The sequence below is a fragment of the Homo sapiens genome, chromosome 2 (assembly GCF_000001405.40).
Source record: "Homo sapiens chromosome 2, GRCh38.p14 Primary Assembly".
NCBI lineage: Eukaryota > Metazoa > Chordata > Mammalia > Primates > Hominidae > Homo > Homo sapiens.
Genome location: NC_000002.12, coordinates 23,618,048 through 23,631,319, shown reverse-complemented (window position 1 = coordinate 23,631,319; position 13,272 = coordinate 23,618,048). Strand labels below are relative to the sequence as shown.

Below are 13,272 nucleotides of genomic sequence, written 5' to 3'. Positions count from 1 at the left end.
TGTCCTTTAAAATATATATTCAGATTCCAATCATATTACAGAATATGATGATGTCTTTGGAGGGTAAACGAGCCTGCTGAGAGCCTGGGTGGGGGCAGAGGACGTGATGGGGCAGGTGGTAGGAGGGGCTGAATAGCGAGCGAGAGACAGAGGACAGGCTTGGTGAGGGCAGCCATGTGCTGGGCTGGGAGCTACAACTGCAGAACCCGTCTGGGCCCCAGGCCTGGCCCTGTCCTTGCCCTGTGATCCTCGGCTTGGTGGCCAGCCCCAAGGGTCATCTGTAAATACTTTAAGTGGAAACCACCAATCACTTCCTGTGCCCTTTCTCACTGGATCACTGTGAGGACGCAAGCCATAAACAGATGCCAGGCACAGATGAACTGGTCCTCCCTGGCCAGCCACTGTCCTAACAGCCTCCTCCACTCCAGGTGCCGGCATGCGCTGATTTCCTTTCATGAGGAATTCTGTGTTCTTACCTTCATTTCACAGATGAGAATAATAAGGGCCAGAGAAGTTCAAAAGTACTCAGGGCAGCCAGGCATGGTGGCTCATGCCTGAAATCTCAGTACTTTGGGAGGCTGAGGCAGGTGGATCACTGGAGGTTGGGAGTTCAAGACCAGCCTGGCCAACATGGTGAAACCCCATCTTTACTAAAAATACAAAAAAAATCAGCTGGGTGTGGTGGTGTGTGCCTGTAGTCCTAGCTACTTGGGGAGACTGAGGCAGGAGAATCACTTGAATCTGGGAGGTGGAGGTTGCATTGAGCCAAGATAGCACCACTGCCCTCCAGCCTGGGTGACAAAGCTAGACTCCATTTCAAAAACAGAACAAAACAAAAAAAACTCAGGGCATGGCAAGCCTGGGACTCTAACCCGGGTCTACTATTTTATCACAAGACCTTCAGATGTGCTCTGGGATGGCAGGAATGTTCCCAGGCTACCTCTCCCCAGCCTCCCCGGCTGTGGCCAGTAGACCCATAAATGGACTCAGCCATATCAAGGCTGCGCTCATGCCATCCTATCAGGATAATACTAAAGCCCTCCCTAGGTGCCTGCAAGCACACCGGCCACGGCCTCTCCTTCTCATACTGTGTCCAGCCCGACAGGGCCTCCTGCTCCAACCCTGCCAGCACACTGGGGCTAGCTGTTATCTCCCTGGCTCCCACTCCTGGTGCTGCCCACCTCAGCACTTCAGTGAAACCACCCCCTTTAAATGAACAATCGCCTCCTAATGCCAAATACGGGAGCATTTCACGTCCTCTTTCTCTGATCCCTAACAATGGCTTCCTCCTTCTTCCTTCTGGAAACTCCCTGCCCCTCCGTTTCGGTAACAATGCTTCTCCTGGTTCTTGACCTAAACCTCTTCCCAGCGCCTCCTCCCGGTGCTGTTCGCTGGTGTCTCCTCTCCTCGGATCTCAAGCATGGAAGTGCTCCAGGCTCGTGCCAGGCCTCTCTCTCCCTCTCTCAGGATTGTTGGGGCCCTGTCTTCTTTCTTAATGATTTTTCTGATGTGAAACACCTGTGTGGTAGCCCATGCCTTTGATAGAACCCAGCTTTCTATAGTATCCTGGAAGTATGTTTGCTTTTCCCTTTTCCAACATCAAAGTCTATACCTTGGAGACACTTTTGCTGAAAGTGCAGCACAGATGGCCTCCCTTGCACACATAAAGCAACCACAGATGGGGCTGGTTTTTGCACCGTGCTCTGGAATGTGCCCTGTCCGGGCCCCCAGCCCCTTCCTCCAAGCCCCCCTCCCAGTGGATGGGCCTTGTGGACAAAGGAAATGATAAATCTGGCAGAACCTTACAACTCAAAGCTTTCAACTTTCCTCTAACAACTTTCAACCGAAAACTTCTTAGTCCCATTTCCAAGTAACTTTTCATCCATTACAAAACCCACAAAATTTTCAAAGGGGCTTTGAAATAAGATCACCTAGAAAAAAAAAAAAGCCCATCACAAACGAAAGTCTTTGAAAAGAAAGAGCCCTTTCCTGCGCTTCAGCTCCCCTCTGATATCAGTTTCCCTTTCATTCTGCTGAAAGGTGCAGGGCAGGCCTGGCCCTCAGCAGATGCCTGTGATGTGCGGGAGCCAGTGGCCCAGACGGACAGACAGGGACGTGGAGGAGCGCGAGGGGCACCTCTCACAGAGCGGGGCCGGGCCTTTCATCCCCCTTCAATCAGTCCGCACCGCTCCCCCAACAGCCGCGTTCCTTGTAGCGGCCCGTCCTGCTCAGAGGCCCCGCCGCCCTGCCTGTTTCTGGTCACCGCGGCATTGGTGACAAGGCAGCGCCCTCCTGAGCACGGTGACCCTCTCCAATCGTGTCGCCAGAGTGGGCGGGGAGGTGGGCACGGCAGGGGCAGCCCCTGCTCTGGCCTTTGATAGGACATTTTCCAACTGCCGGCCCTGCGGGCAGTGACTCCAGGCCCACCCCCGCCCTCCCCAGGGTCAGCTGTAGACTCGCAGACGCACATCACACAACGCCCATTTCTGGGAGCCTTTGTTATTTTCAGATTTGAAATCCGTAGTGAAGCTGGTGAGGAAAAGTCCCCTGTACAGGGCTATGGGCCGGTGTGGGGCCACAGGTGGACTCCCTTACTGAACCATTTGTGGATGGGGCCTGGCCCTCAGAGACTACAGTCTGAACACCCAACATTATTATTACTATTTTTGATACAGGGTGTCGATCTGTCATCCAGGCTGGAGTACAATGGTGCCATCACAGCTCAGTGCAGCCTCAAACTCCTGGGCTCAAGCGATCCTCCTACCTTGGCCTCCCAAAACACTGGGATTACAGGTGTGAGCCACCATGCCTGGCCTCAACATTAATTGTGAGCCCAGCGACTCAGGCCTGCATGGAGATGACTCCCAACGACCCCAGGGGAAGAAGTGGGCTCTTTACAACGGCTTGGCCAGGGGCTGCCCTGGCCCCTCTGCCCCCTATGGCCTTCCCAGCGCCTCCCCAGAGGGCATTCTAGGATTAACTAAGCCGTCCTGTGTGCAGGAACCCCCAGAGCCAGAAAAAACCCCAAGACTGAGTCTCCATTATCTGCGACTCCCTTTGTGACCTTCCTCAATAGTCGCTTAACATGCTCATTAAGATTCCTGGGCTCGGGCTGGGTGCGGTGGCTCATGTCTGTAATCCCAGCCCTTTGGGAGGCCAATGCGGGTGGATCACGAGGTCAGGAGTTCGAGACCAGCCTGGTCAAGATGGCAAACCCCATCTCTACTAAAAATACAAAAATTAGCTGGGTGCAGTGGCAGGCACCTGTAATCCCAGCTACTCGGGAGGCTGAGGCAGCAGAACTGCTGCCCAGCTCCCCGGGAAGCGGAGGTTGCGGTGAGCCGAGATCGTGCCACTGCCCTCCAGCCTGGGTGACAAGAGCGAGACTCCATCTCAAAAAAAAAAAAAAGACTCCTGGCCTCCTCCTTTCTAGTCAGGGGCAGAGCATTCCTGGTTTTTTTTAAAATTGCAAACAAAGACTCACTGGGAAAAGGGAACAGCTCTACATTGTAAAACCTCTGCTGTGTGACTCACGACACTGACTCCCAGAGCATGGAGTCGACTGAGAGCTCGACTCTTGACGCCACACAACAATCCTGACACGACATCCTCAGCGACCTTATTAGACACCTAACAAGAGAGGGGACGCGGCAGAGTCACACCGAGGGGCAGCGAGACAAAGAGACAAACAGGGCAGCACACACGGCCTCGGAGGCGGCTCCTCAGACGCAAGGTGCACCGAAGGAGCTACTACAGTTTTATTGTGGGGACTTCAAGACTCACCCAAACAAGTCAGCGCCTGAGTGTGGGTCTCAGGACGGTAGCCTAGATTCTGAATGGTATGGGGGTCAGAGCTGGGCAGAAATGACCGCTCCGTGGTGGGAATGTTCCAGAAGGCTCAGCGAGGGCCTCAGCGTGCCTTCTTCCAGCTCCTGGGCGCTGGCTGCTTTGTGCCTGCTTAGGCTGTCTGTAATGAGAGCCACGTGTGGCCAGGCAGGATCCTGAGGGCGTGGTGTTCTTTGGCCCCACCTTGGTTCAGAATTGAGGTGGTTAAAGTGATGTTTAAAAGGAGCTGGTATTTAGCAGCAGCTCAGCTCTTCAGCCTTCAGGAAACACTTGGGGGCAGCCAGATGCCGTCTAAATTCACTGGAGGCCCACGGCAGGAGGCACAGCGGAGAGATCTTAAGCAGTGGTGGAAGAGGCAGGGGACACAGAAACAGCCCTCTTGGGGCAGATAGATACTTCCCTTCCCCAGGAGCGGTGCTGGGGAGGAGCGGGGCGGGGATGGGCACTGCACACAGGGGCTGTGGGTAACCAGGGCAGCATGAGGCTCTGGTCTTCTCTGCAAGAGGCTGGGTAGCCACGGTGCCAACTCCTGAGGAGGTTGGGCCTGGCCCGCCCTTGGAGATGGGATCCCAGACAAATGCCCTCCACTGATGTCCCCTCCTCAGCAGGAACCCAGACTGCCTAGGCCAAGGTTTCCTCCCTTCACGTCCAAGGGAGGGCTTCTGTCTGCACGTGCTGTGTGGTCCGGCTACCACAGCTCCACTCCCTCAGCGCTGGGGCCCATCGCCTGCAGGGGCGTCATCCACGCAGGCAGGGCGGCGGGGCCTCTGAGTAGGATGGGCCGCTACAAGGAACGCGGCCCCCCTCCCACCCCACACTTACTGAGAGGCAATCCTGTTCTGGAGACACAGATATCAATAGTTTCTGGCCTAGGGGAGTGCACAGGCTAGTGGGAGAGTCAGGATCATAATTACAACAGCTGATATCTATGGAAACTTCAGATGGTCCAGTTGACAGCCCCTCAAGGCTTGGGAGTTCTCTGAGGCCAAGATCTAAGTGCCCAGCTCTGCTCCTCACTGCATTAGTCAGCTCAGGCTGCCAAAATAAAATATCACTGGATGGCTTAAACCAGGGGTCCCCAACCTCTGGGCCACAGACCCAGCCTGTGGCCTGTTAGGAACTAGGCCACACAGCAGGAGGCGAGTGATGGGTGAGTGAGTGAAGCTTCATCTGTATTTGCAACTGCTCCCCATTGCTGGCATTACTGCCTGAGCTCCGCCTCCTGTCAGATCAGTGGCGGCATGAGATTCCCATAGGAGCACGAACCCTGTTGTGAACTGTGCATGAGAGGGATCCAGGTTGTGTACTCCTTATGAGAATCTAATGTCTGATGATCGGAGGTGGAATAGTTTCATCCAGAAACTGCCCCCCCAACTCCTCCTACCCCCATGCATGGAAAAATTCTCTTCCACAAAACCGGTCCCTGATGCCAAAAACGTTGGGGACCACTGGCTTAAACAACAGAAATGCATTCCTCACAGTCAAGGAGGCTGGGACCTCTGAGATCAGTGTGCCAGCACGGGCAGGTTCTGGGGAGGGCTCTCTTCCTGGCTTGCAGACTGCTGCCTTCTTGCCGTGTCCTCACCAGGCAGTGAGCTCTGGTGTCTCTTGTTCATCTTACAAGAGCACTAATCCCATCAGGTGGGCCCCACCCTCACAATCTCATCAAAACCTAATTATCTCCCAAAGGCCCCATCTCCAAACACCATCACAATGGTAATTAGGGCTTCAACCTGTGAATTTGCTGGGGGCACAATTCAGTCCATAAGATCCACGCAGCCTGCACAAAGTGGGCGTTCAGAAACACTGAGTGAACCGAGTGGAGATCGATCCGCCTGTTGTTTCTCTGGCTCCATCTTGCCCGCTAGACCCCAGGGAGTGTTGAATGGAGACAGGCACCCACAGACCTGACTAGCACGCCAGTGGGTCCTCCCACCAGCCTGAGCTCTAATTTTCTGACGGTTTGCTTTCTTCCTCTCACAACATAATCTCCATGATCGCTAGTCTTTCCCGAATGCTGTTGAAAGGCTTGTTGTATTTATCTCCGGAGAATCCACCGTGCCCCTGTGCAATTTTCCATTGTCATGGTTCATTTTAATTTCTTCTAAGGCTGTTGCCCACTCTCGTGTTCAGAAATAGCTTGTTCCACTTAATAAAAGCATTTAAATATGCAGACACGAGAAGTTTCCTTTGCTTGCTCCTAAACATCACAGTAAGTGGAGTGAGTTATACCCCGTGTCCTGCTGTGAGGCTGAGCACAGACCATGTGGCTTCCCAGGAAGGAGAAACTCTGGATCAAAGGCTCAAGGGCAGGAGCAGGATCTGAGAACTTCTGGTGAAAATCCAACCAGCCTGGATGACCACGGCTCACATTTCCCAGCTGGCAGCACCCTGGCTCTCCTGGACTTGCCTCCCTTCTTCATAATGATCAGAGCCGTGGCCAGAAGTCAGCAGGTCTGGATTTGAGAACTGGCCCACTCCTAACTGGCCTTGTGACCTTGCACAAGTCATACCACCTCTCTGAGCCCCTGCTTCTCTCCTTCATCTATAAAGCAGGCAGGACAATCCCTCCTTTGAAAGGCTGATTTCAACAAGCAGTGGGAATCTTCTACTTCCAGGACCTAGCAACGTACCTGGGACAAGGCAGGGGCTCAGCAAATGGCAGCTATTAGTACTTTTAGGGGACCCGAGAATGCAGGAATATTAAGTAGCCTTTTATAAGAAGGATGCTGTGCCAAAGGCACAGTCTTTCTCCATCAGTTTTCTCTGGGTTGCTGCAGCCAGAGACTCCCCCACAGGCTGTGGATTATCAAGAAACAAAAGCAAAGGACTGGAAAGCAGGCTGGATCCTAATTCGAAACCACATCTATGGGAAGTGTAGCTATTGGCTGTGAGACCAAAGCATCACGACCTCTGGTGGCGGGTGGTCTGAATTGCAGGTCAAGTAACAGAGCTGAACCAGGCTCATAGATACAGATAGTGAGGGGCAATGTCGCAGGGCATCTTTCTTTGGCTAAATAATGGCAACGAAGAAGCAAGAGTCCAGGTAATTGGTGGATATCAGCATGGGATTGGGAAGGGGGGTGGCAGAGATGTAAAATCCCTGATAAGAAGGCAGCTGAAGCCCTGTTTTAATGGCTCAGGAAGCTAGTTCCTATCTGGTACCTGGTCCTTCCAGGACCCTGAAGCCTCCTGTCCCACAGAGGAACCCTAAGCTTATATGTGGGGCTGGGTGGGGTAGGCAGGGGAGTACAGGTCAAATATTTTGGGTCACAACTGCCCCAGAGATGAATATTCCACGTAGTAATTGCTAGACTTCCAGCCATGCACAGCTCATGTGGAATACCAATGGCGCCTTGTGAGAAGCCTGGGGATCACCTCCAGGGGCCATTCTCCCTGGAGACACATCTATAAATACCTCCAAGTAAGCCCAGCCAACCCACTCATTCATCTTCATCTGGAATTAGCACTGGCATCAAAATTCTCTTCTATTGTTTATTCACGGGGAGTTAGTTCATGGATTCACTTGAGGTCACATTTAAGTCAGCTGCAGAAATGGGGGACCCTCCAAACCCAGAACTTGGTCACAGCTAGCTGGCAGCTCTCTCCTTCTGCATCTGCCTCCTTCTGAATACAAGATGCCAACCACTCACACAGTCCACGCTGTACAACCCTACTCCCGGGATGACATTCACATTCACATATGCACACACTATCACACAGGTGCACAAGTGTGCACATGTCCACTCACCTACTTACATAACTGAGCCCACACACATGCATTCCACAGAAACCCACACAGCCCCAGCCTTCTTGGACTGCGGGGGGACTCCGGCCCCCACAGGGCAGGAGTAGCTGGCAGACACCCCTCGGCTGGCCCCACAGAATCTTTTCTTTTCCGATGACTCCAGAACACAGAGTCCCCCATGGCCACTTTGAGCTTTCCTCCCAGATACATTTTCCTAAATCAGCCTCCAATCTGACTCATTTCAGTTTTAAAACAAGAAAACATCAACAAACATGATGGAGGGAAACAGATGGTAACAATTACAGGAGGGAGAAAACAGAGCTCGCTCCCCCTACAAGGGGCAGGCAAACATATTGTTCCCCAGACAGCGGACTGTCCTCCTGCCACTAACGTGTAAACCTGGGTGCATGGCTCCCAGGGCTCATCGCCATTGCAGGGGACAGGCCAGCACTGTAGGGTCCATGAGGGATGCTGGGCACCATGAGTCGGGTCCGTTGGAACCTGGGACCTGCCAGGTCCCCAGGGTGGGGAAGGAAAGACATTCCAGCACATCCCAGGCCACCTCACATGAGACATGTCCCGTCTAAGACCCGAGATCAGGGTGGGACAGCTTCCTCCCCTGCACGCTGGGTCCACCTGTGACCAGCTCTTGTCACCTCCTCATGTCACCGTGCAGAAGCCTGTCTCACCCAGGACTGTGAGCTCCTGAGGGCAGGACAAGGTTTCTCACTCAGGGGAGTGGGTAGGAGTAGGACTCTGGAGCCCAGCTGCCTGGTTCAAATCCAAGTTCTGCCACTTTCAAGTAAGGAAAGCCAAGCAAGCTCACAGACCACTCCATGCCCTCCTTTTCTCACCTCTTAAACAGAGATAATTCAAGTACCTACACCATAGAATTATGAACTAATATGTGCAAAGGACTTAGAACCATGCCTGGAACACGTGGGTGCTATATGTGGAAGCTCCCTGTGTTATTACCCATGCAGATGGCTGGCGTCCGGTTGAATGCTCAGCGGGCGTCCTAAAGGCCCCCAAGTGCAGGGATGAGGAGCAGGCCTTAGGCTGGGCTGTGAAGGAAAGACTGAGCATTCCAGGCAGGGGAAGCCCTGCACTGACTTCAGGGCTGGGAGGAGTCACTCCTGTTGTTGGGAGAGTCCAGAAGAGATGGCTAGGGTCCAGGGTCCCGAGTGGGAGTTTTCCATGCTTCGTCCCTCTTGGGACCCATCATTCGCATTTGTCCATCCTTTGTGATTAGGTAGGACAAAGGCTCGGCTCTCCAGCAGATCAGATCGGTGGAGTCAGGTAAGAAAACAGGTGCAACTCAGAGAGATCACATGCTGTGATGTGAGCGGGATGGTGGTGGCCTATCCTGGCCTTGTGAGTCCAGGAAAGCTGCCTGGAGGAGGGGGCTGAGTCCTGACTTCAGGATGAGGGGTGTGGGCATGAACAGAGGGGATGATGTGTTGTGCTGGGCACAGGGAATGTGATGCCTTTGGGGGTCAGAACAACAGGGCATCAAGAGTGAGGGGTTTGAGTCCCTGTTCCTTCATTACTTGAGTGCCCCAGGCAAGGATTTAATGTCTCTGAGCCTCAGTTTCCTCATCTACAAAATGAGAATCACAGTTCCCTGTGTCCCAGGCCTGATGAGAGGGTGCTGGAAGGATGTGCATTGCAGGTGCCCAGCTGGCTTCCAGCACATCCCAAGGGGATGAATGTGGGGGCCACTGTGCACCTGCCTTTTGGACCAGACTTTCTCTCTCACGTGTCCTGTTCTTACATACATTTACACACAAGCTGTCATACTGGTGGCCAGTGTCTCCACCTTCACGCTCCCAGGGATATGTGGTAGCTGCCCCTATTTGGACGCCTGGATATGGTGAGCTGCATTTGACCACCACAGGGAGGAGGGTATGCTGGACCCCCCTTGGTGCCCACTTGATGCCAGTGCACACAGCAGCTTGTCTGGGCACTCCCAAAGTGGAGAGGGGCAGCTTTCTGCTGCACTTCATTTTGGCAGCGCCTTCTCTTCATCTTGAAATATACTGATGCCCTTACTTATTCTCCTGGGGGCTCGGCATCTCCATTCACCTCCATTCTCTCCAGTCTGCATTTCCTGTCTGGGGGGTCTGTCCCATTAGCACCAGGGCTTGAGCGTACTCCTCCTCCCCCTCCCCTCCCCCTCATCTCCTCCTCCTCCTCCTGAGCTCTTCCTCTTCCTCCTTGTCTTCTCCTCCCTTACCTCTCCTCACCCTCCTCTCTTCCTTTTTTCTTCCTAGGTGCTCCTAACTGCAGTTACTGCTGTTTCAGCCCCTGCCAAGGCCATTGCCAAACGTGCTCAGGAGGGCAGGGACTCAGGAGGCCTGAGCTAACCTGGACAAGAGGCTTCTCCCTGCTAGGCCTCATGTGAGAATCAGCAGATGGAAGTCAGCAGCAGGTCTTAGTCCGGCTGGGCTTCCCCAGTCTCTCCCCTGGGAGGTCTGGCTCTGGAAGGCTGTGGGTGGGACCTGGGGCTCTGCTGTAGAGTTCCTCAGCTGCTGCTGCTGCTGCTGCTGGGTGAGAACTGGGCCCCATAGACTGGACGCTTTCCAAGACCAGCCCTCTTCACAGGCAAATGCTTCTCTGCCAGGGGACCGGGGCTTGGAGCACTGCAGTCCCCCGGCCAAGGATGTTCCTGCGGTGGAAGTGTGTGCCTCAAGCTGCCAGCCTGAGCAATGAGAAAGACCTTCCGCCTGGCTCCCTGAACACTGGTTTCATGACGGGAGTCCGGCTTCCCATGCGGGGTCATCCCCGTGGGTAGAATGCACTGGTCAGAGTGGCAGCAGCGCTCCAGCCAGCAGGATGCTGGAGTTCCCATCGCGGCAGCACACACTGGCCTGTTTATACACCCGGCTCTGCGGGCTTGGCCTTCTCTCTTTCAATGATGTTTATCCGGGTTCTGGAACGTTCTTCTCCTGCCTCCCTCTCCCACCTCTGGATGGGGACCCTGTTCCTGCATCTGGTCTTGTTGCCCAGTTGCCACATCACTGTCACCTTTCCAGATGCTCACAAGCCCACTCGACGCTTCCACTTGGATGTCCTGCCTGCACTTCACACTCTGTGTGTCCCGGACTGGCCTCTGCTCTCTCCCTCCCCATCCTGGGTCAGCTCCCTCTGCTGTATGCTCTGTCCCAGAGCTGGCCTCACCACCCTGTTCCTAAAGCAGGAATTTGGGACTTGGCTTTAACTGTCCCCCCACGCCATGCCCCAGCAGCCTTGCCGATGCCCTCCTAAATATTTCCTCTAGCAGCCCTGGCCTCCCTGACCCTCACCTCTGCCTTCTCCTGACCTCCAAGGAGTGTCACCTGGGGTGTCTATCTGAATCTGTTCTTTGTGTGGCAAGGCAGTTCTTTTTCTAAAATGTAAATATGACCATGTCACTCTCCTCCCTAACACCTTCCAATCCCATTGTCGAAGGGATCGAGTGCCAACTCCCTGATGGGCCCCGCTGGCCTCCTGGTGCCCCCTCTCACCACCCCTGGGCTGGCACTTCATGCTCTGCCAGCACCCTCATGTGGTTTGCTGCGTCCAATCTCCACACATCAGCCTAAGCCTGGCCTCTGTGTGTCCACTGGGCCCCCTCACCGAGGCTCGCTCCATCTTATCCTCAGGGACTCAGCTCAGTGGCCTCCCCTCGGAGAAGCCTCCCCTGACAGCTCCCTTCTCTGGCCTCCCTTCATCTGGGTCAGATGCATTTCCCCTGGTTCCCCAGCATGCCCCACAGGAAACCCTGGAGCCTGTATGAGCTACTGGACTCTAAGTCCTATTTGCTCAACCCCATACTTTATACTATGAATTCCTTGGAGGACAGACCATGCCTTATTTCCAGGATAAGGCCTGGTACATAGTAGGTGTTCAGGAAAAGTTGGGAGTGTGAACTAGGCACTAACAGGCTGGGATGAAGCAGTCTGGACTTAATGCCCTTGCTAGCTTTACCAGCGCCCCAGACGTGCTTCCATTTCTCTTTTCCTGGTGCAATTCCAGGGCAAAGGAACTTCTGAGTCCTTTCTAATCAAGCTGTTAATAGGGGAGTCCTGACACCAGACATTGATTTTTCACCAAAGGGGAGGAGGCTTCTCCCCTGTGTTCTGCACCCCAGCAGTCAGTTCAGAGTTTTAGGCTGCAGTCTCTGCTGTTATCATGGGCACAGCCTGCTTCGGCTGCCCTGGGGCCTAATTTCCTCACATCAGTGTCAGTGCCCTCATCCCTGGGATGCTCAGATTTCAAAAGGAGTCACAGCTAAGGCCTCCATGAGTGGACTCATTTCCCTCACCCATTTCTCCCCACTCTCCAATCACTGTGAGGCCCCAGACCCCTCTGAGAACACCCACCACCCTCAAAATTTCCCCAGCGGCCCAGGCTGGAACCAGACCCTTCACACTGCAGGAGAAGCCCGCTCTCGATCCAGCCCCGCAGAAGACCCCAGGTGTGACATATTTAGCTCAGAGCCTCACCTGCTGCAGGAAGAGTCACAGACCTGCTGCTTAAAAGCATTTCATGTATGCTTTCCTTTACCTTCTAGCAGGGGGTGAGCAAGGAGTGGACACCACGTCTAGGGAGCAATGGCTGGAGGCTGTAGCTGGAGCCTCCCACCTGCAACAGAGAGGCTGCCTTTCCCTGGGCCGAGGGGCCTGTGGCTGCCAGGCCTGTATCTGTGCTCCAAGCCCTGTTCCCCTGGAGGGGAAGGACCAGCATCTGCCTGTAAAGGGGGCTGTCTGGCAAGGCATCCTCATTTCTATTCACACAGTTCACGGCCTCTGATGTTCTCAGCAGAGAGGAGTGGTGGCTGCAGAGCTTTTCTCTGGCTTCCTTCCAAATACTTTGGGATTCAGTCACCCTTTCTTCTCCTAGAGGACACAGGTAGCTTGATCAAGCTATGGGTTCAGGAAAGATGTTAAGATTTCAACCCCTGCCTTAATGGATGCCTTCTATATCAGCCAGGGTTCTCCAGAGAAACGGAACTAATAGCATAGAAATTATATATATAATATACGATTTATTATAAGGAATCAGCTCCTGTAACCATGGAGGCCGAGAAGTCCCGCGATCTGCAGTTAGCAAGCTGGAGACCCAGGAGCGGGAACTGGTATAGTTCCAGTCCAAAAGCCTGCAGGCTTGAGACCCAAGAAGAGCGGATGTTTCAGTTCCAGTCCAAAGGCAGCAAAAGACCAATGTCCCAACTCAAAGGCGGTCAGGAGAAACCCCTCTTACTTACAGCAGGGTCAGCTTTTGTTCTGTTCAGGCCGACTGACTGATCGGATGAGGCCTTCCCACATTGGGGAGGGCGAGCTGCTTTACTCAGTCTACTGATTTGAATCTTAATCTCATCCAGAAACACCCTCACGGACACACCCAGGATCATCTTTGGCCCAAATACCTGGGCACCTTGTGGCCTGGTCAAGTTGACATGTAAAATTCACTGTCCCACCATCTACTACAAAGACATTGGCTCTGGCTACAATTTTTATTTGAATCTGTGCTTTGGGCAGGGAGTGTCAAGGCAGGAAAAAAAAAATAAATAAAGGCCCAAACAATAATACTAAGCAGGGCTGGAGAATTCCTTCCATGATGACGGAACTTTTCCTCTGGCACTCCCTTCCCAATAAATAAATCCTGCCCACTCCCAGGAGATGCGGTGTCTGCCT

General features: G+C 53.8%; 1 protein-coding gene across 2 annotated transcripts in view; it reads right to left on the bottom strand.

Moving 5' to 3' along the window:
• KLHL29 (kelch like family member 29) overlaps positions 1-13,272 on the bottom strand; it is a 323,428-nt gene that overhangs the window by 77,287 nt on the left and 232,869 nt on the right. The window lies entirely within an intron of this gene.